We start from the raw sequence: 27,880 nt of genomic DNA, 5'->3' as shown, positions 1-27,880 counted from the left end.
CTCACAGGATTGGAAGGAGATGTGTATTATTCTGTCTTGCTTACTATCTATTTATGCCTAATTCTATGGCAGAACGTTATTTCCACAGAAATACATAGAGATCATGGAAAACAAATCTGACTTCAACCATCTGACAGTCCTGAAAATATTTAAATCATGCCCTCCTGTCCCATGAAGTCATCTCTTCCCTAGTCTAAATGCCTACAAATCTTTCAGCAGTTTCTGGTATATTGTGATTTCAAGTCCTGCCATAATCCTATGTGTCACCTGGTTGTGCCTCTGTTAGTAGTGCCCAAGCTGATATTTCACGTCTGCTTTAAAGTGCAAAATAGATGAGGACTCCCTGCAGTTTCATTCTAAATAGTGTACTTCTATATTTAATGTATGCAGTCCAGGGACTTCTTAGTTATTTTAGTGGCCACATTACACTGTTAAATCATATTAGAATTTTCAGCCCAATTCAGAGCTTTAAAGAGTCAATCGAGTATTGGGCATGGGTAATTACTGTCCTACCTGCCTTTGAGCAAATAATGCATTAATTACTTGGCATGACATACTAATGACCTTTATTGATCAACTTTGTAAAATTTTTATTTTTTTATTGACAAAAATTGTATAGGCGATCATTTACATGGTTATGTCTCAATAAACCTATATTATAAGTCAAAAATGCATTTAATACACCTCACTTACCAAATAGCTTAACTGAACCTGCTTTAAATGTGCTCAGAAAACTTCCATTAGTCTACAGTTGGGCAAAATCTTACACAAAGCCTATTTTTATAATACAGTGTTGAATATTCATCTCATGTAATTCAAGTAGCATTGAATACACTTCTGAAAGTGAAAAACAGGTTGTGGCCGGGCACAGTAGCTCATGCCTGTAATCCTAGCATTTTGGGAGGCCAAGGCAGGTGGATCACTTGAGGTCAAGAGTTCAAGACCAGCTTGGTCAACATAGTGAAACCCCATCTCTACTAAAAAATACAAAAATTAGCTGGGCGTGGTGGCGTGCACCTGTAGTCCCAGATACTCGGGAGGCTGAGGCATGAGAATTGCTTGAACCCAGGAGGCGAAGACTGCAGCAAGCTGAGATTGGACCACTGCACTCCAGCCTGGGCAACAGAGTGAGACTCCCTCTCAAAAAAAAAAAAAAGAAAAACAGGGCCAGGCACAGTGGCTTACGCCTGTAATCCTAGCACTTTGGGAGGTCGAGGCAGGCAGCTCACAAGGTCAAGAGATCGAGACCATCCTGGCCAACCTGGTGAAACCCTGTCTCTACTAAAAATACAAAAATTAGCTGGGCGTGGTGGTGCATGCCTGTAGTCCCAATTACTTGGGAGGCTGAGGCAGGAGAATCGCTTGAACCCGGGAGGCAGGTTGCAATTAGCTGAGATCACGCCATTACACTTCAGCCTGGCAACAGAGCAAGACTCTGTCTCAAAAAAGAAAAAAGAAAAACAGGTGGTAAGTGTACTTGAAATATGGATTCTACTAAATGCAAATCACTTTCACATCATTGTAAACTCAAAAACTTACAAGTCAAACTGTCATACATTGGGGACCATCTATATATTTATTACATACAACTTGATGTTTTGATACATACATTGATCTGTTCTTATATATGTATATTTTCTTACACAAATGTCTCTGAATACCAATCTCTTTAAAATGTTAGGTAATTAGGTGGGGCACGGTGGCTCACGCCTATAATCCCAGCATTTTGGGAGGCTCAGGTGGGCGGATCACTTGAGGTCAGGAGTTCGAGACCAGCCTGGCCAACCGGGTGAAACCCCATCTCTACTAAAAATAAAAAATTAGCCAGGTATGGTGGTGCACACCTGTAATCCCAGCTACTCGGGAGGCTGAGGCAGGAGAATCGCTTGAACCCTGGAGGCAGAGGTTGCAGTGAGCCCAATTCAGAACTGTAAAGAGTTGCAGTGAGGCAAGATTGCGCCACTGCACTCCAGCCTGGGTGACAGAGTGATACTCCATGTTAAATAAATAAAATGTTAGGTAGTTAACTCTGCTAACCTCAAAAGGAAAAATGCTTAACCAGTACCTCTTCTACTCTTAGGGTATTTTACTGGATGAAGCCTCAGGTGTAAACAAGAATCAACAGCCTGTCCTCCCTGCCGGCTTGCAGGTCCCCAAAACGGTAGTGTCCAGCTGGAACCGTAAGGTGAGGGCTTTTCAGATTAACTAGAGCTCTTGATGTCAGCTTCATAACAGAGATTTTGCTCATTCTAACATGCATTTCTGTTCTAATTTATTAGAGAACTGGCCACTGTCTCCTTTAGTTTGTTCTCATAAACATACACAAACTAATTACACCCTCTTCTTCTCTTTCTGGAGACCTCTACATGCACATACATTCTTAAATGAATGAATGACCTTTGCGATGTTCTTGTCTCCTCAGAAGTCATAAATTGGAATTTACTTTTCTAATTCATCAAGTTGCTGTGTTATAAAGTATTTGTATTCATTGATCATAGGCAGCAGAATATGGCAAAAAAGCAAAATCTGAAACTTTCCGGCTGCTTCATGCAAAAAATATCATCCGACCTCAGCTCAAGTTTCGAGAGAAGATTGACAATTCCAACACACCATTTCTTCCTAAAATCTTCATCAAACCCAATGCTCAGAAACCTCTCCCTCAAGGTAAATAGTGCATACTTTGCCTGTGTTTGAGTCTCACTTTATTTGATGCAAAAACCAGGAAGGGTGTACAGGTCTCTCTTCTTTGTTCAAAGGGAGCCCACCCTCCTTTGTTCAAAGGGAGCCCAGTTCAGCTATTCCAGAGGCTGAAGTGGGAGGATCACTTGAGCCCAGGAGGTCAAGGCTACAGTGAGCTGTGCTTGTGCCACCACACTTCAGCCTGGGGGACAGAACATGACCCTGTCTCAAAAAAAAAAGCCAAAAAACAAAGGGAACCAGTTTACCCCTGTGTAATTAGAAAAGACATGAATGTGCTAATGATGTTTTTGTCACTGCTGGGATCCCCAGCTCTCTCTAAGGAAAGGCGGGAACGCCCACAGGATCGTCCTGAGGACTTGGACGTCCCCCCTGCACTGGCTGATTTCATCCATCAGCAGAGAACCCAGCAGGTTGAGCAAGACATGTAAGTGTTGGCCTGTGTCTGACTTTCTGCCGTGAGTACTTACCTTTTTGCCACATTTTCACTTTTGTGGAGTATATACATGAAAACAATCTGAGGAGTAGTGATTTCCTCCTTACACCCCAACCTGGGCCTTAGCAATAAAACCTGCTGTTTGTGTTCACAAAGGGCCTACACAGCATTGCCTCATGTAAACCTCACTGCAGTCCTGAGAAGTAGCAGTTGCTCTTATTCCCATTTTATAGATGTAAAACACGAAGGCTGGGCGCGGTGGCTTACGCCTGTAATCCCAGCACTTTGGGAGGCTGAGACCGGTGGATCACCTGAGGTCAGGAGTTCGAGACCAGCCTGGCCAACATGGTGAAACCCCATCTCTACTGAAAATACAAAAATTAGCCAGGCGAGGTGGTGTGTGCCTGTAATCCCAGCTACTCGGGAGGCTGAGGCAGGAGAATCGCTTGAACTTGGGAGGTGGAGGTTGCAGTGAGCCAAGATGGCGTCACTGCACTCCAGCCTGAGTGATAGAGTAAGACTCCATCTCAAAAAAAAAAAAAAAAAAAGATGTAAAAGCAAAATTAGAGATGCAGGCTTCTTGTAGAGTTGGAACTTCTTTGAGACAGGGTCTTGCTCTGTCGCCCAGACTGGAGTGTGGTGGCATGAACACAGCTCACTACAGCCTTTACCTCCTGGGCTCAAGTGATCCTCCTGCCTCTGCCTCCCAAGTAGCTGTGACCACAGGCATGAGCCATCATGCACAGCTAATTTTTGTATTTTCTGTATGCCCAGTCTGGTCTTGAATTTCTGACCTCAGCCATCCTCCCAACCTGCCCTCCCAAAGGGTTGGGGGTTGGGATTACAGGCATGAACCACTGTGCCTGGCCAGAGCTGGCCCATGTTTTCTTTCTTTCTTTCTTTCTTTCTTTTTTTTTTTTTTTGGGACGGAGTTTCGCTCTTGTTGCTCAGGCTGGAGTACAATGGCGCGATCTCAGCTGACTGCAGCCTCTGCCTCCTGAGTTCAAATGATTCTCCTGCCTCAGCCTCCCAAGTAGCTGGGATTATTATAGGCATGTGCCACCACACCTGGCTAATTTTGTATCTTTTTTTTTTTTAGTAGAGACAGGGTTTCATCATGTTGGTCAGGCTGGTCTCGAACTCCTGACTTCAGTTGATCCACCCTCCTTGGCCTCCCAAAGTGCTGGGATTACAGGCCCGAGCCACCGCACCCAGCCCCATGTTTTCTTAAATTTGTCTTTCCTCCATACTATACTGCTCTGCCTTTCTTATTAGGATTCAAATAGTAGGTAAGGCTCACTTTTTTTTTTTTTTTTTTTTTTAGTTTTGCTCTGTCACCCAGGCTGGGTGCCGTAGTGCAATCATAGCTCACTGTAGCCTTGAACCCTGGGGCTCAAGCAATCCCCCTGCCTCAGCCTCCCTAGTAGCTGGGACTACAGGCACACATCACTGTACCTGGCTTGTTTTTTAATTTTAGTTTTTATTTTTGTAAACACAGGGTCTTTCTGTGTTGTCCAGGCTGCCTGAAACTCCTGGCCTCAAGCAGTCCTCCTGCCTCGACTTTCCAGAGTTCTGGGATTACAAGCATGTGCCACCGTGCTCAGCCCAAGGCTCATTTATGAATTTAGTAAAGAAAAGGCATTTTTTACTGGCAATATAAGCATCTTGGAAAAACTTCACTTAAAATAGACAAATGGACTTTGCCTTTAATATAATGCAAAAAGGTGATAAAAATTTGGTTAGTATTGGCCTTTTCCTCACATAGAGCCAGAGTCTGTCTGGGCATTCATGCCTTTAGCCCCAGCTCTGCAATGTGAGGCCACAAGCTAAGTGCTGGAGAAACAAAGGCCATGAAAGGCAGCCCTGCCCTCCTGGGCTACCGTGATCCTCGAGGAACACACCACAAGTTGAGGATTTTTATACAGATTTCTTAGGATCAGAAAAAATATAACATTAAGCTCTTGGCCAACTGCAGTATTTGCTTCATCCTTACTTTACAGATTTGTTATTTCAAACTGCAAGAATGACATATTTCTCATTTTGGTATTATCCACAACATCAACTATACAGTACTTTGCAAATAAGTACTCAAATCTTTATAAAGCTGCTTGGGTCTCCAGCTCTCTAAAGAAATTAATAGACTTAATTATCATATTTTAAGAGTGAGCAAATATCATCTGATTTATGATTTGTAGTTGAATTACTGAAATAAGCTCTTTGTAAAGGGAAGATATTTTCACAGTGGTCTTTTCTCATTTGTTTTTACAGATTGGATAAAAGGCATTATTTTTCCCTTGAATCATGGAATTAATCAGAATGATTTCTCTTTTTGTTTTATTTACTCAGGTTTGCACATCCTTATCAATATGAACTAAATCACTTTACCCCAGCAGATGCAGTGCTTCAAAAGCCACAACCCCAGGTTAGTACCCAGCCTTAGTTTAAAGGTGCCGTGTAGTAGCCCAAGAGGAATCAAATAAGTAGATTCATTGATGCAATTTTGACTTTCCTTGAAGATCTTTAAGGGAGAAAGTTACAGTTTTGGGTCATTTCTCAAACTTGTAGTTCACTTTGTACTTTACTGGGGGATGATTTCTATATTCCTCCCTTTTTCTTACTATTCTCTTGATCCAGTTATACAGACCTATAGAAGAGACACCATGCCATTTCATATCCTCCCTGGATGAACTCGTGGAACTCAACGAAAAGCTCTTGAATTGTCAGGAATTTGCAGTTGACTTGGAGGTATCTTATAAATGACCCTGGGTAAAATTTTTACATTTTTCTGTGAGTTCACCTGTTGGAGAAGTATAAAATTAATACTAATTGTAATTTTTTTTGGTAAAAAATTAATCATATAACTTAGCTTTGTAGCTGACTTTTCAAAATCAGTAAAGGAAAGTCTAATATAATCTTTGTTTTTCCTCTTCTCCCCTCCTTCTGTGGGGTTTAGCACCACTCTTACAGGAGCTTCCTGGGACTGACCTGCCTGATGCAAATTTCTACTCGGACGGAAGACTTCATCATTGACACCCTCGAGCTTCGAAGTGACATGTACATTCTCAATGAGAGCCTCACAGACCCAGCCATCGTTAAGGTCAGCCAGCCTTTTGTAACTCATGCATGTGAGCTCATACAAGATTTTTAGTGCTTTTCAGTGTACTATTTCATTATTTCAACCTAGACCAGTCAAGTTGGGAGGAATCATGTCATTTCCTAACTAGGGTACAGTGCTAAATGGCTTTTGTTTCTAAATCCCTGTTAGAACAGCTAAGACTTAGCTTGTTACCGCCCAGAAAAACGTTAAATCATTTTAATGACTACTGCAGTGAGCCCCAGCCATCAAGATTGTTTGGACTTGATGACTGTACTGAAGCTACTAGAGCTGCTTTCATGTGTCTCATTGGTTGATAACAGTTTCAGACTTCAAGCGTATGGAATCAGGAGTGTAGAAAGCTGTGACTGAAGACAAAAGAAACATTTAAAACTGCATATATCCTTTCAAAAAACCAGCTCCTGGATTCATTAATTTTTTGAAGGGTTTTTTGTGTCTCTATTTCCTTCAGTTCTGCTCTGATTTTAGTTATTTCTTGCCTTCTGCTAGCTTTTGAATGTGTTTGCTCTTGCTTTTCTAGTTCTTTTAATTGTGATGTTAGGGTGTCAGTTTTGGATCTTTCCTGCTTTCTATTATGGGCATTTAGTGCTATAAATTTCCCTCTACGCACTGCTTTGAATGTGTCCCAGAGATTCTGGTATGTTGTGTCTTTGTTCTCGCTGGTTTCAAAGAACATCTTTATTTCTGCCTTCATTTCGTTATGTACCCAGTAGTCATTCAGGAGCAGGTTGTTCAGTTTCCATGTAGTTGAGCGGTTTTGAGTGAGTTTCTTAATCCTGAGTTCTAGTTTGATTGCACTGTGGTCTGAGAGATAGTTTGTTATAATTTCTGTTATTTTACATCTGCTGAGGAGAGCTTTACTTCCAACTATGTGGTCAATTTTGGAATTGATAGACCGCTAGCAAGACTAATAAAGAAAAATAGAAGAATCAAATAGACGCAATAAAAAATGATAAAGGGGATATCACCACTGATCCCACAGAAATACAAACTACCATCAGAGATTACTACAAACACCTCTACGCAAATAAACTAGAAAATCTAGAAGAAATGGATAAATTCCTCGACACATACACTCTTCCAAGACTAAACCAGAAAGAAATTGAATCTCTGAATAGACCAATAACAGGAGCTGAAATTGTGGCAATAATCAATAGCTTACCAACCAAAAAGAGTCTAGGACCAGATGGATTCACAGCCGAATTCTACCAGAGGTACAAGGAGGAACTGGTACCATTCCTTCTGAAACTATTCCAATCAATAGAAAAAGAGGGAATCCTCCCTAACTCATTTTATGAGGCCAGCATCATCCTGATACCAAAGCCGGGCAGAGACACAACCAAAAAAGAGAATTTTAGACCAATATCCTTGATGAACATTGATGCAAAAATCCTCAATAAAATACTGGCAAACCGAATCCAGCAGCACATCAAAAAGCTTATCCACCATGATCAAGTGGGCTTCATCCCTGGGATGCAAGGCTGGTTCAACATACGCAAATCAATAAATGTAATGCAGCGTATAAACAGAACCAAAGACAAAAACCACGTGATTATCTCAATAGATGCAGAAAAGGCCTTTGACAAAATTCAACAACGCTTCATGCTAAAAACTCTCAATAAATTAGGTATTGATGGGACGTATCTCAAAATAATAAGAGCTATCTATGACAAACCCACAGCCAATATCATACTGAATGGGCAAAAACTGGAAGCATTCCCTTTGAAAACTGGCACAAGACAGGGAGGCCCTCTCTCACCACTCCTATTCAACATAGTGTTGGAAGTTCTGGCCAGGGCAATCAGGCAGGAGAAGGAAATAAAGGGTATTCAATTAGGCAAAGAGGAAGTCAAATTGTCCCTGTTTGCAGATGACATGATTGTATATCTAGAAAACCCCATTGTCTCAGCCCAAAATCTCCTTAAGCTGATAAGCAACTTCAGCAAAGTCTCAGGATACAAAATCAATATTCAAAAATCACAAGCATTCTTATACACCAATAACAGAGAGCCAAATCATGAGTGAACTCCCATTCACAATTGCTTCAAAGAGAATGAAATACCTAGGAATCCACCTTACAAGGGACGTGAAGGACCTCTTCAAGGAGAACTACAAACCACTGCTCAATGAAATAAAAGAGGATACAAACAAATGGAAGAACATTCCATGCTCATGGGTAGGAAGAATCAATATCGTGAAAATGGCCATACTGTCCAAGGTAATTTGTAGATTCAATGCCATCCCCATCAAGCTACCAATGACTTTCTTCACAGAATTGGAAAAAACTAGTTTAAAGTTCATATGGAACCAAAAAAGAGCCTGCATCGCCAAGTCAATCCTAAGCCAAAAGAACAAAGCTGGAGGCATCACACTACCTGACTTCAAACTATACTACAAGGCTACAGTAACCAAAACAGCATGGTACTGGTACCAAAACAGAGATATAGATCAATAGAACAGAACAGAGCCCTCAGAAATAACGCCATATATCTACAACTATCTGATCTTTGACAAACCTGACAAAAAACAAGCAATGGGGAAAGGATTCCCTATTTAATAAATGGTGCTGGGAAAACTGGCTAGCCATATGTAGAAAGCTGAAACTGGATCCCTTCCTTACACCTTATACAAAAATCAATTCAAGATGGATTAAAGACTTAACAACGTTAGACCTAAAACCATAAAAACCCTAGAAGGAAACCTAGGCAATACCATTCAGGACATAGGCATGGGCAAGGACTTCATGTCTAAGACACCAAAAGCAATGGCAACAAAAGCCAGAATTGACCAATGGGATCTAATTAAACTAAAGAGCTTCTGCACAGCAAAAGAAACTACCATCAGAGTGAACAGGCAACCCACAAAATGGGAGAAAATCTTCGCAACCTACTCATCTGACAAAGGGCTAATTTGCAGAATCTACAATGAACTCAAACAAATTTACAAGAAAAAAATAACCCCATCAAAAAGTGGGTGAAGGACATGAACAGACACTTCTCAAAAGAAGACATTTATGCAGCCAAAAAACACATGAAGAAATGCTCACCATCACTGGCCATCAGAGAAATGCAAATCGAAACCACAGTGAGATATCATCTCACACCAGTTAGAATGGCAATCATTAAAAAGTCAGGAAACAACAGGTGCTGGAGAAGATGTGGAGAAATAGGAACACTTTTACACTGTTGGTGGGACTGTAAACTAGTTCAACCATTGTGGAAGTCAGTGTGGCAATTCCTCAGGGATCTAGAACTAGAAATACCATTTGACCCAGCTATCCCATTACTTGGTATATACCCAAAGGGCTATAAATCATGCTGCTATAAAGACACATGCACACATATGTTTATTGCGGCACTATTCACAATAGTAAAGACTTGGAACCAACCCAAATGTCCAACAATGATAGACTGGATTAAGAAAATGTGTCACATATACACCATGGAATACTACGCAGCCATAAAAAAGGATGAGTTCATGTCCTTTGTAGGGACATGGATGAAATTGGAAATCATCATTCTCAGTAAACTATCGCAAGAACAAAAAACCAAACACTGCATATTCTCACTCATAGGTGGGAATTGAACAATGAGAACACATGGACAAAGGAAGGGGAACATCACACTCTGGGGACTGTTGTGGGGTGGGGAAAGGGGGGAGGGATAGCATTGGGAGATATACCTAATGCTAGATGATGAGTTAGTGGGTGCAGCGCACCAGCATGGCACATGTATACATATGTAACTAACCTGCACATTGTGCACATGTACCCTAAAACTTAAAGTATAATAATAAATTTAAAAAAAAATTTTTTTAACTTAAAAAAAACCCTGCATATATCTAATTTTTTTTTTTTTTTTTTTTTTTGAGACGGAGTTTTGCTCTTGTTGCCCAGGCTGGAGTACAATGGTACGATCTCGGCTCACTGCAACCTCTGCCTCTCGGGTTCAAGCAATTCTCCTGCCTCGGCCTCCCAAGTAGCTGGGGTTAAAGGCATGCGCCACCACACCCGGCTAATTTTTGTATTTTTAGTAGAGACAGGGTTTTGCCATGTTGGTCAGGCTGGTCTCAAACTCCTGACCTCAAGCAATCCACCCACCTTGGCCCAAAGTGCTGGGATTACAGGCGTGATCCACCATGCCCAGCTGCATATATCTAATCTTGATTAGAACATTGGCTTCAGCCAGGTGAGGTGGCTCAGGCCTGTAATCCCAGCATTTTGGGGAGCTGAGGCAGGAGGATCACTTGAGCCCAGGAGATTGAGACCAGCCTGGGGAACATAGTGAAACCCCGTCTCTACAAAAAATACCAAAGTTTAGCTGGGCGTGGTGGCACGCTGTAGTCCCAACTACTTGGGAGGCTGAGGTGGGAGGATTGCTGGAGCATGGGAGGCGGAAGTTGCAGTGAGCCAAGATCACACCACTGCACTACAGATGGGACAGCGGAGACTACCTTCTAATTTCAGTGTTCTAATAAACTAGAGGCAGAGTTAATTTCTGAGCATGAGTGGCCTGCTACCAGTGTACTGCATGACTTTGGTTCTGTTTTCAGGTCTTTCATGGTGCTGATTCAGACATAGAATGGCTACAGAAAGACTTTGGGTTGTATGTAGTAAACATGTTTGATACTCATCAGGCAGCACGCCTTCTTAACCTGGGCAGGCACTCACTCGATCATCTCCTGAAACTCTACTGCAACGTGGACTCAAACAAGCAATATCAGCTGGCTGATTGGAGAATACGGTCAGTTTGCTCTTACTGAGGAAATGTGGGTGGCAGAAGAAAGTGATTATTCATTAACCTGTCGTCCAGAGAGACCTGGGTTTGAGCCCTACCACGCTCATTGAGATGAATGGCATCAGGCTTTTCGCCAGGCATCTTCAGCAGCGTAAAAGTGGTAGGAAATTTTTTAATGCTAAGGTGGACTTTATGATGGGCTGATGCAGTTACACTGTGTTCCATGGAAATAGTGGTTGAAAAAGAGGTGCCGCACCAGTATTTGCCCATGCTGGTCTTTTGTTTGAAACTGGGATCTTTCTACCAGATGATTTTGTGTGTGTGTAAGATCTTCTGTAGGGATGATTGTGTGTGTGTGTGTGTGTGCAAGATGACCTTCCATAGGTGGGAAAGAATTCTAAGGGACACTGTTGTTTAGCTTTACACTGAGCGTTTTTTTGTGGCATAAGGTAGCAGTTTTGCCCCACTTCCTGCAGGCCTTGCTCAGCTTGGTCGTTTTCCGCTTGGTTGCTACCTCTCCGAGGTTGCACCTGTCATAGGAAGGTGCTACTGAGCTTTTTCAGGAATTCCACATGCCAGAATGCCAGAATTTCTTTTTTTCTTTTTTTTTTTTTGAGATGCAGTTTCACTGTTGCCCAGGCTGGAGTGCAATGGCGCGATCTCGGCTCACCACAACCTCTGCCTCCCGGGTTCAAGCAATTCTCCTGCCTCAGCCTCCTGAGTAGCTAGGATTACAGGCGTGCACCACCACGCCCAGCTAATTTTGTATTTCCAGTAGAGACGAGGTTTCTCCATGTTGGTCAGACTGGTCTCAAACTCCTGACCTCAGGTGATCCTCCCGCCTCCGCCTCCCAAAGTGCTGGGATTACAGGCGTGAGCCACCGCGCCTGGCCCAGAATGCCAGAATTTCTAAATATAAAAGTAAAATTACATTTGGACTGATAAAATCCAAATAAAAGATAAAAATTGATAAAATCTAAAAACCACTCCCTGTTACGGAGCCCTTACCCTGTGCCAAGCTCTGGGCTAAGTGCTTCAAGGATGTGGTCCTGTGTAGTCCTCACAACAGCCTATGAAGTACCTGGTTCCCATTTCACAAGTTAGGTGGGTCAGCCCAAAGAGGTTAAGGAACTTGTCCAAGGACAGACATCTGGAGCTGAGATTTGAACTCAGGACACCAGTGGCCCCTTTTCTACTGCCTCTTGTGTGTGTCCAGAGTAGCTGACAGTGCCCTTATTTTAACCACCGCATTACCCTGCCTCCAATTCTACCCAGCTGTTAAAATAATGGTTTATCATGTTAAAATGCAGGAAATGTTGGCATAACTGCAGTATTGACTATGAAAGGATCTTTCATATTGGAAGGGTCTAAGGAAGTCCCAGCACCCAAGGAATAGACAAATTGAATTGCTGTCCTTGGGGGCAATCAGTAAAACATTGTCCTCTGCAATTCCAGCCCTCTGCCCGAGGAGATGCTCAGCTACGCCCGGGATGACACCCATTACCTGCTATATATCTATGACAAAATGAGGCTGGAGATGTGGGAGCGCGGCAACGGGCAGCCGGTGCAGCTGCAGGTGGTGTGGCAACGGAGCAGGGACATCTGCCTCAAGGTACACCTCAGCCGCAGTCACACAGACCGCGACACTTGGGCTCTGTGTCTGGCCAGGTTCTAGTTCTTAGGTTTGCTCCTTACATTCATGAAAAGAGCCAAACATTTTCCAGAGCCCAGGGCACAATTTTGATTCCCGTTGATTTTGAATGTTCTCTAATACTTTGTAGAAATTCATCAAACCTATCTTCACGGATGAGTCCTACCTTGAACTCTATAGGAAGCAGAAGAAGCACCTTAACACACAGCAGTTGACAGCCTTTCAGCTGCTGTTTGCCTGGAGGGATAAAACAGCTCGCAGGGAAGATGAAAGTTACGGGTAAGGGATTAGAGGTTCTTTTAATACTTGTTTCCAGACTGAGGAGATCTAATAACAAGTAAATAATGGGCTTTTTTCTTTTGCTATGAAAGCTGGTTATTTCCCCTATGTGACAGCATCTAATGGAACTTACTGGCTGAATGTAATGTGTCCCCACCGTGTGTGTGTGTGTGTGTGTGTGTGTGTGTGTGTGTGTGTGTTTTTTTTTTTCCAGATATGTACTGCCAAACCACATGATGCTGAAAATAGCTGAAGAACTGCCTAAGTGAGTTTCAAATCTGATTAATATGTTCTGACTTTCTCAGTAGATCTGATGTTCTTCAAAATCAAGCTTTTCTGGTTGCTATTACCCAAGGCTGCTTACTCAGAGATTAATGCTCCAAGCTTGGAAGGTAGCAAGTTGAAGGAATATAGAATTTCTGCCCTCAGGCTGCCATTTAAGCACTAAAACTTCTGAACTGGAATCATTTCAATGATTATGCCTTAGTTTGAGTTTATTTTAAGTCTCTGAGCCTTATAGCATCTACTTGCAAGGGAAGAAAATGTCCCAGATTCTGTCATCTGTACTTTCTTCCAAATTAAAGCAGCTCATGATCTTAAACGTTTTGTGATCTTGATTGAAGTATAAGCAAGAATGAAAATCCACAGCCCGTTGGTTGCCCCCTGCGGAATTGAGAATCCACAGTGCTATGGCACTTACTTTCAGCTCTCCCTGATTGTGGGAGTCAGGCTCCAAGAGGGATCCACTTAAAGCTTGGTGTCGCAAAGAACACATGGAGAAGTTGGCCTAGGCTGGCCTGACATCAGTGTTTCCTTAGTCACCTACCTGTAGCTTCAGCTTAGGTGGCAGCCTGGCTTTACCCAGTCATTATTCTTATCTGGAAGCCTTTAAGGGCTGCGTTTCTGAGTGACAAGTTGAGTGTGTTCTTACTTGTCTTCAGGGAACCTCAGGGCATCATAGCTTGCTGCAACCCAGTACCGCCCCTTGTGCGGCAGCAGATCAACGAAATGCACCTTTTAATCCAGCAGGCCCGAGAGATGCCCCTGCTCAAGGTAAGAAGCTTTTCTGCGGCTGGGCACAGTGGCTCACGCCTATAATCTCAGCACTTTGGGAGGCTGAGGTGGCTGGATCATTTCAGGTCAGGAGTTCGAGACCAGCCTGGCCAACATGGTGAAACCCCGTCTCTACTAAAAATACAAAAAATTAGCCAGGCGTGTGGTGCACGCCTGTAATCCCAGCTACTCCGGAGGCTGAGGCAGGAGAATTGCTTGAATCCGGGAGGCGGAGGTTGCAGTGAGCCGAGATCGCGCCACTGCACTCTAGCCTGGGAGGCAGAGCGAGACTCCGTCTCAAAAAAAAAAAAAAAGATTTTCTACTGAAGGGTCCCAACTTAGCAAGCCTGTTTTTTTTTTGTTTGTTTGTTTTTTGTTTTTTTTAGACGGAGTCTCGCTCTGTCTCCAGGCTGGAGTGCAGTGGCATGATCTCGGCTCACTGCAACCTCCGCCTCCTGGATTCAAGCAGTTCTCCTGACTCAACCTCCTGAGTCGCTGGGATTACAGGCATGCACCACCACGCCTGGCTAATTTTGTATTTTTAGTAGAGGCGGGGTTTCACCATGTTGGCCAGGCTGGTCTCGAACTCCTGACCTCAGGTGATCCACCACCTGGGCCTCCCAAAGTGCTGGGATTACAGGCGTGAGCCATCATGCCCAACTTTAGCAGGCCTGTTTTTTCTGCTAGTGTCTTATTCCTTGTGGCTTCCTAGATTCATGAGCTGGTCTGCATTCTAAACAACCCTAGGGAAATAATAGGGCTTAGGAAATCCAGTGTGTGTGTCTTGATGAATTTAGCTGCTTTTTTTTATGATAGTTGAGAGCTAAGACTCTTTATTTATGACCTTAGCTTTGATGATTCAGCAGCAAGTACTGTCTGGTAACTGGGCCAATTCACTGTTCTAAGGCAGTTAATGTGGTGGAGTGAGATGGAGCGGTGACCTCAGCAGAGGGAGCTAGTTTTGGGAGCCTGGCGATGGCCCAGATGTGAAGTGATAGCTCCCTGAATGAGTGAGGAATCACACACTGAGAAGGAAAGAACAGGTGTAGGAAGCATCAGAAGAAAAGATTGATGAGACTTCGTAGCAAATGCTGACAATGGCAGCCAGTTTTCTTTTGTTTTTTTTGTTGTTGTTGTTGTTTTGAAACAGGGTCAGCCGGGCGCGGTGGCTCACGCCTGTAATCCCAGCACTTTGGGAGGCCGAGGCGGGCGGATCACGAGGTCAGGAGATCGAGACCATCCCGGCTAAAACGGTGAAACCCCGTCTCTACTAAAAATACAAAAAATTAGCCAGGCGTAGTGGCGGGCGCCTGTAGTCCCAGCTACTTGGGAGGCTGAGGCAGGAGAATGGCGTGAACCCGGGAGGCGGAGCTTGCAGTGAGCCGAGATCCCGCCACTGCACTCCAGTCTGGGCGACAGAGCGAGACTCCGTCTCAAAAAAAAAAAGAAACAGGGTCTTGCTCTGACACCCAGGCTGGAGTGCAGTGGTGCAATCATGGCTCACTGTAGCCTCGCATCTGCTAGGCTCCCACCTTAGCCTCCTGAGCAGCTGGGACCACAGGCATACACCACCATACCCAGCTATGTTTTTTTTAATTTTTTGTAGAGATGGGTCTTGCTGTGTTTCCCAGACTGGTCTTGAACCCGTGGGCTCAAGCAGTCCTCCCACCTCAGCCTCCCAAAGTACTGGAATTACAGTTGTGAGCCACCTGCCAGCCCCACATTTGCAATTTTTGTGTTAAAAATGTCTTTGTAAGCTCTGTACTTTGTCCAAGTAAAGAGAGACCTTGATTACTAGAGAAGAGTCTTTTTCAAGCTCTTTGGAATCCTTCCTATTGTGCTTAGTCATGTTAAAGAGCTTTATTCTTTCATTCTACAAATAATTATTGAGCACCAAATAATTATCATGCCAGGCACTGTAAGGAGTGAAGAGAGGAAAGAAAATCTCTGGGCTTTTGAGAAACAGGCTGGTGAAGGAATACAGTCAGCGCTGGAGACTGGGGGTTGGACTTGAGGTGCTTGGGCAACTTTCCTCAATTCCCTTCGTTTTTTTCCTTAGTCTGAAGTTGCAGCCGGAGTGAAGAAGAGCGGACCGCTGCCCAGTGCTGAGGTAGAGTGTCGGATCTGTTTTCTCCCCCAGGAGGGAAAACGTCAAGTCACAGCCAGTGCAAGTACACCTCTGACAGAGGCCTGTGCTGACAGCTGGCAGAAAGCTACTGCCGGCTTGCACGTTTTACATGCCAGCCTGCTGGTGTCTTTTAATGCAGAGATTGGAGAATGTTCTCTTTGGACCTCACGACTGCTCCCATGCCCCTCCGGATGGCTATCCAATCATCCCAACCAGTGGTAAAGTCGAGAGCCCTCCTGACTGTCCCGAAGAGGTTGGGACACAGCTACCTTGTCTAAAATTCTGTAGGCTTGGCCGGGCGTGGTGGCTTATGCCTGTAATGCCAGCATATTGGAAGGCTGAGGCGGGTAGATCACCTGAGGTCAGGAGTTTGAGACCAGCCTGGCCAACATGGTGAAACCCCATCTCTACTAAAAATACAAAAATTAGCTGGCATGGTGGTGGGCACCTGTAATCTTAGCTACTTAGGAGGCAGAGGCAGGAGAATCACTTGAACCGAGGAGGCGGAGGTTGCAGTGAGCCGAGATTGTGCCATTGTACTCCAGCCTAGGGGACTACACTAAAACTCCATCTCAAAAAGAAAAAATAAACAAAATTCTGTAGGCTTTGACCTTACTATCTTCTGCTCCTCTAGGATCTGTGCCAGTTCAGAAGCAGGCGAGCCTCTTCCCTGATGAAAAAGAAGATAACTTGCTGGGTACCACATGCCTGATTGCCACAGCTGTCATCACGTTATTTAATGTGAGTAGCACAGAAACTTCACTGAGGTGATGAGGACCCCCTGGGATTTACTGGATTTATTCAGCAGGCTGTCTGCCTGGAGCATTGCATACACTCGGAGACTAATGCTGAGAGCAAAACCCAGCAGTGCTGGGAGAGGCATAGAGACCAATGAGCAAGGTGGCACTGACCACTCTGGAGGAGGTGGTCTGGGGACGTGGATGGGGGATTCTCTTGAGCTCTGTGTGAAGAAATCTTCCAGGAAAGGCTGACGTCCTGTTGTTGAACAGCACCTAGTGGGAGGAGGGCCTGCGCTAAGAGAACATACAAGCAGGGCTTTCCAGACAAGCTGCAGTGGTGGTGGAGGAAAAACGGTTCACCTGGATGCCCAGCAGGGGTGGCATGGGTGTACTGTCCGATGAACTGTAGAATGTGCGCTGCCCATAGCTTCCTGCCTGACCCCAGCACCACATATGTGTGCTTTCAGTGAAGAAGAGAAATGATTTTTTTTTTTTTTGAGACAATCTTGTTCTGCCACCAAGGCTGGAATGCAGTGGCACAATCATGGCTCACTGCAGCCTTGACTTCTGAGGCTCAAACGATCCTCCTGCCTCAGCCTCCTGAGTAGCTGGGATTACAGGCATGAGTCACTGTGCCCAGCTATTTCACTTTTTTTGTTTGTTTGGTTTGGTTTTTTGAGATGGAGTTTCGCTCTTGTTGCACAGGCTGGAGTGCAGTGGCATCATCTCGGCTCACTGCAACCTCCACCTCCCAGGTTCAAGCGATTCTCCTGCCTCAGCTTCCCTAGTAGCTGGGATTGCAGGCGCCCGCCACCATACTTAGCTAATATTTTATATTTTTAATAGAGATGGGGCCACTATGTTGGCCAGGCTGGTCTCGAATGCCTGACCTCAGGCGATCCACCCACCTAAGCCTCCCAAAGTGCTGGGATTACAGGCATGAGCCACCACACCCGGCATTTTTTTTTTTTTTTTTTTTTTTTTTTTTTGTGACAGGATCTCATCCTGTCACCCAGGTGGGAGTGCAGTGGCACCATCCTGGCTCACTGCAACCTCTGCCTCCTGGGCTCAAGCAATCCCTCTGCCCCAGCCTTCTCTCGAGTAGCTGGGACTACAGGTGTATGCCACCATGCCCAGCCAATTTTTGTATGTTTTGTAGAGGTGGGGTTTCACCATGTCGCCCAGGCTTCACTTTGGTTTTTAACTTAATTACATAAATCTAGATTGGGCCTTGCTTTAGCAATTAATGAGAAAATACTAGGCGCTTTAGCTGACCTCAGAGCTAATTTGAGTCATGAAGATGATTTAGCAGCTAAGCGTGTTAGCATGAGCTCTGGGCTGCTTTGATACGGAAGTGCTGTTTGGTGTAAAGGAGGCTGTGGTCTCCCTGCACTCTTGTGTTGCAAGGGCGCATAATTACAGATGAAGCAAAAGGATAGCACATATTTATGAACCCAGTTGGAAGCAGCATTTTGTTGCATAATTTCAATGATTCCCTATAAAGATATGTAATACTAAATTTCAGGCCTGGCGTGGTGGCTCACACCTGTAATCCCAGCACTTTTGGAGGGCAAGGCGGGCATATCACCTGAGGTCAGGAGTTTGAGACCAGCCTGGCCAACATGGTGAAACCCTGTCTTTAATTAGCCGGGCATTGTGGCGCACGCTTGTAATCCCAGCTACTCGTGAGGCTGAGGCAGGAGAATCACTTGAATCCAGGAGGCGGAGGTTGCAGTGAGCAGAGATGGCACCACTGCACTCCAACCTGGGCAACAGAGCAAGACTCCACTCAAAAAAATAATACATACATACATAAAATAAATTTCAGGCATCAATTAAGACCTCATGTTCTAGAGCCAGACCATGGTGGGTTTAGATCCTTGGTCTGCTTGTATTCACTGCAAGCCTCTGAAAGACTGTCACAACCTCTGTAGGCCTCAGTTTCCTCCTCTGTAAGATGGTGAGAGTAATACCACCTCATAGGCTATGAGGACATGCTGAGAATTCACTGATCCAGCACATTGATATTGAAATGCTACTGTGTGCTGTTGCAGACACAACACCTTATACATAAGAGAGTGTATGAAAAATTAGCCTTAGCCATTGGTATTAATATCACTGTTACTGGCCGGGTGCGTGCGGTGGCTCACACCTGTAATCCCAGCACTTTGGGAAGCCAAGGCGGGTGGACCACTTGAGGTCAGGAGTTCAAGACCAGCCTGGCCAATATGGTGAAACCTGGTCTCTGCTAAAAATACAAAAATTAGCTGGGCATGGTGGCACGTGCCTGTAATCCCAGCTACTCAGGAGGCTGAGGCAGGAGAATCGCTTGAACACAGGAGGTGGAGGTTGCAGTGAGCAGAGATCACACCACTGTACTCCAGCCTGGGCAAAAGAGCGAGACTCTGTCTCCAGAAAAAAAAAAAAAATCACTGTTAACTGTTGCTCTCTTGCTTGCATCTTGATGTCACAGATGATCATGGTCATTAGTGATCGTTTTTTGTCTGTCCCTGCAGGAACCTAGTGCTGAAGACAGTAAAAAGGGTCCATTGACAGTTGCACAGAAAAAAGCCCAGAACATCATGGAGTCCTTTGAAAATCCATTTAGGATGGTGAGTAGTAGTTTTGTCAGGGCTGACAGGATATGCAGAGATGCCTACAGCTGTACATGCTTTTACCTGGGAAGGAAGCCTCTGAAGCCAGTGTGTCGGCTGCCCTGGTGTCCTGGCAAAGACGCTGACAAGGCACCAGCAACCCCCCATCTGAGCGCTTCTGCCCCGTGGCTCTAGATTCCGTTCCCGGCAGCGTTTCACACAGCCATTTCCTTCCTCCAGTTTCTGCCCTCACTGGGACACCGTGCTCCCGTCTCTCAGGCAGCGAAGTTCGATCCATCAACCAAAATCTATGAAGTAAGTGGACTTGTCACCTGTTCTAAAAGAGACTTTTTTTTTTTTTTTTTTTTTTTGAGATGGAGTCTCGCTTTGTCACCCAGGCTGGAGTGCAGAGGCACAATCTTGACTCACTGCAACCTCCACCTCCCAGGTTCAAGCAGTTCTGCCTCAGCCTCCCAAGTAGCTGGGATTACAGGCACCTGCTGTCATGCCCGGCTAATTTTTGTAGAGATGGGGTTTCACCATGTTGACCAGGCTGGTCTCGAACTCCTGACCTCAGGTGATCCACCCGCCTTGGCCTCCCAAAGTGCTGGGACTACAGACGTGAGCTACTGCGCCTGGCCCTAAAAGAGACTTTCTAAGAAAAGGGGATTTCTTAATTATTCATACCAGGTTTCTGTTTTAGACAAGCCTATCTCATCTGTGAATCCCGTGAAAATGAATGCAAAAGCCCTTTATTTTCTAGCATTGTTTCTAGGGAAAGGGTCCAGAACTTCAGTGAGATTCTTAAAAGCACTTGGGCTGGGCATGGTGGCTCACGCCTGTAATCCCAGCACTTTGAGAGGCCGAGGCGGGCGGATCATGAGGTCAGGAGATCGAAACCATCCTGGCTAACATGGTGAAACCCCGTCTCTACTAAAAATACAAAAAATTAGCCAGGCGTCGTGGCAGGCGCCTGTAGTCCCAGCTACTCGGGGGGCTGAGGCAGGAGAATCGCTTGAACCTGGGGGGCGGAGCTTGCAGTGAGCCGAGGTTGCGCCACTGCGCTCCAACCTGCGCGACAGAGCGAACTCTAGCCAAAAAAGAAAAAGAAAAGCACTTGGAAACTTTGTAAGAAACAAATCTTCATTTGCGGTTTTTAAATTGAGGTTTAATCTATATGTAGTAAAGTACACAAATATTAAATATACAGCTTGATGCATTTTTATAGATGTCTGTTACTTTAAGGCTCTTAAAGGTGACAGCTTTAATTTTAAAACACTCTATCTTACTTATCTGGCTTGTTTTTACCAGCATTATGAGTAAGAATGAGAGCACACCTCCCCTAGACCCTCTTGAGATGTTCCCCAGAGCCAGAACGTGAACTGTTGTTCGCAGCCTCCTTCCTCCCTTTAGGAAGCGTCTGCTCTGATGACATGGGCGACTGGCTTCCTCTGTGTGGCAGCAGAGCTCTTTTGTTAGGCAAAACCGAGAGGTCCCCCAGCCCCGTTCCTGTCCCTGAGTTAGCTTGCTATTTTTGGAAATGGGGAATCAGGTGGGGCTTCTGCCTTCTCTCCTCTTTTCCCCCCACGGGTTATGTCACACTGAACAACTGCACGTCCTGTGTGTTATGCCCAGTGTCACCTCCATGTGTTGTAACGCCATAGGTCCGTGGGGTGTCATAAAGAAACACAGCAGACTTGCGGAAGCCCAGCCTTGAGTCTGCTTCTGTCATTTACTGACCATGTCCCTTGGACAAGTTATTTACTCTCCCGGAGTCTGTTTGCTCATCTCTAAAGAGAGGGTGATGACAGTACCTTTTTCCCAGGGTTACAGAGGGATTGAATGAGATGATGGATGGCCCAGTGCCTGGAGGACAGTAGCACTTTGTCCTTAATAGGGATTTTAGCAATAAAGCCAGCATGAAATTTATTTTTCATGCCCTTAGATTTGAAAATTTATGACTTAGAATGTGTGTACTTCTTAGGTTAACCTGCCCTTCGTCACCTCATGAAAAGTAAGACAGACTTAGGTGGCTGACTTTGGAGGGTTTTTTTTGTTATATTTGCTTTCATTATAGATCAGCAACCGCTGGAAGCTGGCCCAGGTACAAGTACAAAAAGACTCTAAAGAAGCTGTCAAGAAGAAGGCAGCTGAGCAAACAGGTAACACTCACTTCCTTGCAACTCAGTCGGCTGTTAAAGAATGGCTGTTGCACACCCGCTGTTTCAGCCAAGTGCCAGATACGGCGATGAATGAAGCCCCTGTGGGGCTTCCCTTCTGCTGAGGGATGGTGGGCAATCAGTATCTATCCTGGCAGATGGCAGCAGGTGCTGTGCAGAGAGATTGGTGGGGAGTGCTGGAGGTGCTGTAGCTGTCTCGTTGGTGGTTGGAGAAGGCAGTCTAATGAATGCGACATTGACGAGACCTGCAGTGACCTAGAGAAGAGTTCTGGAGCCACAGCACAGCGAGCCCAGAGGCCCTGGGGCTAGTTCACTGGGCATGCTGAGCAGCAGCAAGTGGGCCTGCATGAGCAGAGCGGGTAGAGAAGAGCAGGAGATGGGGAAGGAGCCAGCAGAGGCCCACGGGATGACGCTGCCTTTTACTCTGAGTTCAGAAGCCAGGAGGGTGCTGAGCAGACGGGGGGAAGTGACTGACATGTGGCACTCTGGCTGCTGTGTCAACAGTAGACTATAGAGGACAGGATGGGAGTCCAGGAAGGGATAGGAGACATGGCAGTGGCTCAGGCGAGAGGGGATGGTGGCTTTGAGACCAGCGTGGGAGCAGAGGAGGTGGTGAGAAGCTGTCAGAGCCTTGATCTGTCCCATAGCAAAGCTGACAGCATTTGATGATGAGGTGGATGTGGCATGTGAGAAAAGGGAAGGGAACCTTGGATGAAGGTTTTGTCCTGAGCAGCTGGAAAGCTGGAGTTGCTGGCAGCCAAAGTAGCTGGTTTGAGCAGGTTTGTCCACGATGGTGATGGTGACGATCCTGTTAAACGCCCTCAGGTCCACAGGCCACTGAGCATTTAGGTTCACAGAAGAGGAGCAGGCAGGGCTGGGGAGGATCAGCTCACGTGTAGCTGAAGGTGGGCAGAGCACCTGAGCCTGAGCTCTGAGGCAGCCTGTCCTGCAGAGATGGGGGACCGGGGACCTGAGAGGGAGGAGGAATCAGCCGTGACAACCCCTGTGGCTAGGCCAAGTCGGAGGGGGATGGAGATGGAGGGGAGGGTGGTTGCTGGATTCACCAACTCCAGAGACAAGTTCTCTCCCTTGCAGCTGCCCGGGAACAGGCAAAGGAGGCGTGCAAAGCTGCAGCAGAACAGGCCATCTCCGTCCGACAGCAGGTCGTGGTATGTGCCAGCTTTTCTCCTTTTTCCTTTGAAAAACGATGCCCCTGCTTGTGGTCAGGATCTTCCTTGGATATCTTAGGGGGCTTGCCCTGTGCTTTATATTAAGTCCTGACTTCTTTCCGGTTCACCTTAGCTTGGCTATTAGTGTCTACCTCATTTCCGAAACCTCCACAAGATTGATATTGTAATTCCTCTTAACCTTCTTCCACTGTGTTTATGGTAAATATGCCAGACCACTCAACTGTAGTAGTAGAAAAGGTATTGAGGTTACAGTGCTGAAGCTTGTTGTGTGTCCTGCTGTGTCCTACAAAAATGTTGCATTCTAGAGAATGAAACCCCAGAGCACTCTGGAACTCTTTTTTTTTTTTTTTTTTTTTTGAAGTAGTGTCTACCTCTGTTGCACAGGCTGGAGTGCAGTGGCACAGTTGCAGCTCACTACAGCCTCAAACTCTTGGGCTCAAACGATCCTCCCTCCTCAACCACCCAAGTAGCTAGACCACAGGCACACACCACCATTCCCAGCTATTTTTTGTTATTGTTTTTGGTGGAGACGGGGTCTCACTATATTGCCCAGGCTATCACTCGAATTCTTAACCCCTGCCCCCTGCCTTTCCTTTTTTTTTTTTTTTTTTTTAATTTCCTTTTAAAAAAAAAATAGTGACATGGTCTTACTCTTACCCTGATGCCCAGGCTGGAGTACAGTGGTGCAATTATAGCTCATTGCAGCCTTGTACTCCTGGGTTCAAGTGATCCTCCCACCTCAGCCTCCCAAGTAGCTAGGACTACAAGCACGCACCACCATGCCCAGCTACATTTGTTTCTTTTTTTTTGTAGAGATAGGGGTCTTGCTATGTTGCCCAGGCTGGTCTCAGACTGCCTAAAGCAGTCCTCCCACCTAGGCCGCCCAAAGCACTGGAATTATAGGCATGAGCCACTGCACCTGGCCTGCTTGCCTTTCTTAAATGACCTCATGTCATTGTCCAGTGAGGAATTTGTTTCAGCTGACCCTGAGTGTTGGTCCCGAAGTTCCAGCCACAGCTCCTCTCCCCACCACTGACTGTTCTTCTTACCACTTAGGCAGCTGGGTCCCAGCTATTGCTGAGGCCGGTGGAGTTCCCTGTTCCCATGTGCCTCCCTGTTCCTCCCCCACATCTGTTCCTGATCTACAGCTAGAAAATGCTGCAAAGAAGAGAGAGCGAGCAACAAGCGACCCAAGGACCACAGAACAGAAACAAGAGAAGAAACGACTCAAAATTTCCAAGAAGCCAAAGGACCCAGAGCCACCAGAAAAAGAGTTTACGCCTTACGACTACAGCCAGTCAGACTTCAAGGCTTTTGCTGGTGAGGAAGTAATGGGGCCCCATACAGGGACATCTGTGCGCGTCAGAGGGGAGGAAGCCATAAAGAGACCACAATATAGGGGCCAAGTGAGTCCTGCACAAGGCATGGTGCTAGCCAGGAATTGTTGGAGTAGTCCAGAGAGGCCGTGGCAATGTGGACAGTCGCCTGCAGCCTCATTACCACCTCCTCCATGGGAGCTCAACTCATGGTGGCCTCCATGGTGGGTTAGCAAGATCACCTGTCACTTCCACTGTGACCAGGGCGCCATCCTTCCTCACTATAACTTGTGCCCATAAACCCTCTCTCTCTCTCTCACACACACACACACACAGAATTTTGTTTGTTGAAAAATCTCAAAGCCTATGACATGAACCCCTATGGCTGCTTGGGCTGTGAGAGTCCGTCTGCTTTGAAGGGGCTACAGATGGCATTCTCGACTCTAGCAGCCTTCGGAGCAACATGCTCCTTTGGAAAAGAGAAAGCAGAGGCCAGTCCACACAATGGCCCTTTATACAGGAGTGTCGCCTCAGAGCCCGAGTTCCTTATGGCATCACCCAGCACAGAGATCAGAATGGATTTCCTTATGTGCGGGGGCCACTGCTGTAGCCACCTGCCCCTAAGGTCCTGGGACTAGAGCTGAGAGAAATGGGCCTGGTTTTCAGACTGCCCACAGGGACCAGGATCGCTATGTATTCATTTATGTGAGCCATGAGCCCTAGCCCCTCATCGTGACAGGGGTGCTCTCACAGCCAAGGCTTCCCTGAGTGTCATGGTCCCGGCCTCGCTGTGAGCCTGTGATGTGTGGTAACTCATTGACCTGACCGCAGGTCTCTCTCATCTCTTACCTTTCAGGAAACAGCAAATCCAAAGTTTCTTCTCAGTTTGATCCAAATAAACAGACCCCGTCTGGCAAGGTAAGAACTGCTCCTGGAGGATTTTAGCACGCTGGTGGCGCCTGTTTCTGACCTCCTCCTCTGCTGAGAAGACAGGCCCATCCAGGAGTCCATTCCTTTGCATATCTTTTTCCTCACCTCATTTCTTCCCAAGGGCAGACAGTACTGATCAGCTACCCCAGCAACTCATAAAACGAGGCTGTAAAAGCTGGCATGTGGCTTTAAAGGGTATTATTCTGTGTTTGCTACCATGGGAACTATAGCTGCAGGCCAAAAGCACCCCCTTTGGGGCCAGCACAAGCCTGCATTCACCCCTCGTGGGTGTTGGTGCTGGTGCCAGGGAAACAGCGTGGCTGTAGCTTCCACAGGCGCGGGGGCAGGGCTGCTTTGGGGTGCTCCTGTTCCTCTTGCAGCGCATCCTGGCGGCCTTGCCTTCAGAGACACAGAAACATCCTCTCTCAGGGGATCTAAAGTCACTCCTGTGCTGCTAGAATCTTTGGCCACCTGAGCTCAGGTGTGTTTTTCTGTGTATCTTGTGGTCAAGGTGCCCACCCAGCTTAAACGGTTTCTTTTCTTTTCAGAAATGCATTGCAGCCAAAAAAATTAAACAGTCGGTGGGAAACAAAAGCATGTCCTTTCCAACTGGAAAGTCAGACAGGTATGTGGTGGACGGCGGTGTGGCCCAGGGAGCCCAGTGAGAAAGCACCTGCCCTGCGTGGTGTGGTCCGTGGGGAGTAGCTGGGGAGCGAGTGTCCAGGGGTCTTCAACCAGGATGACTCAGAGAACCTCCCACAGCCAGGTCCCTCACGCCACTCGGAAAACAAGGGCGGGAGGTGATTTGCTCTGTGCCATACATCACAGAGCCAGGCACTGCACCCCAGGACTCAGATTCCCCTTGTTCCTGGCTCTCTAGTTACCGTGTGTCCTGGGGTCACCTCAGGGAAAATAGGTGTAAATAGTTGTGAAATTTTCCTGGACCAGCCTATTAGGAATGAGGAAAAAGTAAGCACATGTGGGTTATCCTTGTTGTTGAAGAGTGGTTTGGCTTGGTTTGGTTTTGTTTTGTGAGAGTCTCATTCTGTCACCCAGGCTGGAGTGCAGTGGCACAATCTCAGCTCACTGCAACCTCCACCTCCTGGGTTCAAGCAAGTCTCTCACCTCAGCCTCCCGAGTAGCTGGGATTACAGGTGCCTGCCATCATGCCCGGCTAATGTTTTTTTTTTTTTTCTTCTTTGAGATGGAGTCTCGGTCTGTCGCCCAGGCTGGAGTGCAGTGGCACGATCTCTGCTCACTGCAAGCTGCGCCTCCCGGGTTCACGCCATTCTCCTGCCTCAGCCTCTCGAGTAGCTGGGACCACAGGCGCCCGCCATGATGCCCGGCTAATTTTTTGTATTTTTTAGTAGAGACGGGGTTTCACCATGTTAGCCAGGATGGTCTCGATCTCCTGACCTTGTGATCCGCCCGCCTCGGCCTCCCACAGTGCTGGGGTTACAGGCGTGAGCCACCGCGCCCGGCCTGTTTTTGTATTTTTAGTAGAGATGGGGTTTTGCCATGTTGGCCAGGCTGGTCTCAAACTCCTGGCCTCAATTGATCCTCCCGCCTTGGCCTCCCAGAGTACTGGGATTACAGGTGTGAGCCACTGCACCCAGCCAAATGTTTTTGTTAAAAACATAAAATCCTAATAATTAAGCCGACCCTGAGGTCAGGGGACTTGCCCGAGGGCAGGAAAAACAGGTCTGCCTTCTCAAGATGCTGCTCAGCTCAGCCAACTCTGGTGGGCCGCCGAGTTCTCTGGGGCCCCTGAGCAAACCATTCTTCCTCTGTTCTGCATGATTAAGATTTGCACCATTTTGTAAACCATCTGAGAACATCCAACCAGCCCGGAAGAAATAACTGTTGTTTTTGTACTCTCTGCAGAGGCTTCAGGTACAACTGGCCACAGAGATAGTCCTGGAAGACACGTGGCGCCTGTGGACCGGAAGCACCAAATGCTGGTGCTGCTTTTGTACATACATATTTTTAAACCATTAAAATTCTTCCTGAAGAAAGCTGATTCCTGACTTTTATTTTGTTGCCGCCACAGCTCTGGCAGGTTGCCATCCTGTTCAGGCAACCATCTTCAGCTGTCTGTGGGCAGGTGAGTGTGCTCCGGGGGTTATGGTGACTTCTAGAAAAATCCAGAGCCGGCCGGGTGCGGTGGCTCACGCCTGCAATCCCAGCACTTTGGGAGGCTGAGGCAGGCGGATCACGAGGTCAGGAGATCGAGACCATGCTGGCCAACACGGTGAAAGCCTTTCTCTACTAAAAATACAAAAAATTAGCCGGGCATGGTGGTGGACGCCTGTAATCCCAGCTACTCAGGAGGCTGAGGCAGGAGAATCGCTTGAACCTAGGAGGCGGAGGTTGCAGTGAGCCGAGATCACGCCACCTCATTTGAGCCTGGGCAGTAGAGCAAGACTCTGTCTCAAAAAAAAAGGCAAATGCAAAGAGAAAATTTTAATCATTTGTAGTCCTGTCACACAAAGATGCTTTTTTCCTTTTTTTGAGACAGGGTCTCACTCTGTTGCCCATTCTGGAGTGCAGTAGTGTGATCCTAGCTCACTGCAGCCTTGACCTCCCAGGCACATGCCACCACACCTGGGTAATTTTTCTTATGTTTTATAGAGATGGGGTCTTGCTGTGTTGCCCAGGCTGGTCTTGAACTCCTGGCCTCAAGCAATCCTCCTGTCTTGTCCTGCCAGTGTTGGGATTTCAGGCATGAGCCACCACACCCAGCTGAGATTAACATTTTGCTGTATTTCCTTATAAGCTTTCGCTATGTGTATATAGATATATTTTTAAAATATATCTTGGGTTCAGGTTTCTATC

General features: G+C 46.3%; 1 protein-coding gene across 5 annotated transcripts in view, besides 2 other annotated features; it reads left to right on the top strand.

Annotated features, from left to right (window-relative positions):
* EXOSC10 (exosome component 10) overlaps positions 1-27,060 on the top strand; it is a 33,252-nt gene extending 6,192 nt beyond the window's left edge. Inside the window, exons 4-25 of one of the 5 annotated variants that reach the window (NM_001001998.3) lie at positions 2,081-2,185; positions 2,499-2,664; positions 3,010-3,124; positions 5,480-5,555; positions 5,768-5,878; positions 6,087-6,230; positions 10,800-10,990; positions 12,440-12,596; positions 12,766-12,914; positions 13,129-13,179; positions 13,856-13,967; positions 16,027-16,077; positions 16,235-16,313; positions 16,730-16,836; positions 19,352-19,447; positions 19,670-19,744; positions 21,507-21,591; positions 22,705-22,778; positions 23,948-24,119; positions 24,972-25,033; positions 25,594-25,670; positions 26,930-27,060. In NM_001001998.3, the coding sequence (NP_001001998.1) occupies positions 2,081-2,185; positions 2,499-2,664; positions 3,010-3,124; positions 5,480-5,555; positions 5,768-5,878; positions 6,087-6,230; positions 10,800-10,990; positions 12,440-12,596; positions 12,766-12,914; positions 13,129-13,179; positions 13,856-13,967; positions 16,027-16,077; positions 16,235-16,313; positions 16,730-16,836; positions 19,352-19,447; positions 19,670-19,744; positions 21,507-21,591; positions 22,705-22,778; positions 23,948-24,119; positions 24,972-25,033; positions 25,594-25,670; positions 26,930-26,960 (2,286 nt within the window). In that variant the 3' untranslated portion in view covers positions 26,961-27,060. Of the gene's footprint in view, positions 1-2,080; positions 2,186-2,498; positions 2,665-3,009; positions 3,125-5,479; positions 5,556-5,767; positions 5,879-6,086; positions 6,231-10,799; positions 10,991-11,019; positions 11,145-12,439; positions 12,597-12,765; positions 12,915-13,128; positions 13,180-13,855; positions 13,968-16,026; positions 16,078-16,234; positions 16,314-16,729; positions 16,837-19,351; positions 19,448-19,669; positions 19,745-21,506; positions 21,592-22,689; positions 22,779-23,947; positions 24,120-24,971; positions 25,034-25,593; positions 25,671-26,929 lie in introns of those variants that run through there. The other 4 variants (XM_005263475.3, NM_002685.4, XM_047422661.1 and 1 more) reach the window with 4 other exon arrangements.
* Positions 1,205-1,385: a silencer, noted in NCBI's record as "fragment chr1:11152350-11152530 (GRCh37/hg19 assembly coordinates)". NCBI's record gives its function as "represses an EF-1alpha promoter that drives an FKBP-Casp9 reporter gene in an ReSE screen in both phorbol 12-myristate 13-acetate-treated (for megakaryocytic differentiation) and untreated K562 erythroleukemia cells {active_cell/tissue: K562 | K562(+PMA)}" and the evidence as "EXISTENCE:reporter gene assay evidence [ECO:0000049][PMID:32094911]".
* Positions 20,662-20,711: an enhancer, noted in NCBI's record as "active region_163". NCBI's record gives its function as "activates an Ori minimal core promoter by ATAC-STARR-seq in GM12878 lymphoblastoid cells {active_cell/tissue: GM12878}" and the evidence as "EXISTENCE:reporter gene assay evidence [ECO:0000049][PMID:35858748]".
* Positions 27,061-27,880: the final 820 nt, after the last annotated feature.

Source organism: Homo sapiens, chromosome 1 (assembly GCF_000001405.40).
Source record: "Homo sapiens chromosome 1, GRCh38.p14 Primary Assembly".
In the NCBI taxonomy this organism is placed as follows: domain Eukaryota; kingdom Metazoa; phylum Chordata; class Mammalia; order Primates; family Hominidae; genus Homo; species Homo sapiens.
The sequence above is the reverse complement of the archived record's forward strand: the minus strand, read 5'-3'. Positions and strand labels throughout refer to the sequence as shown.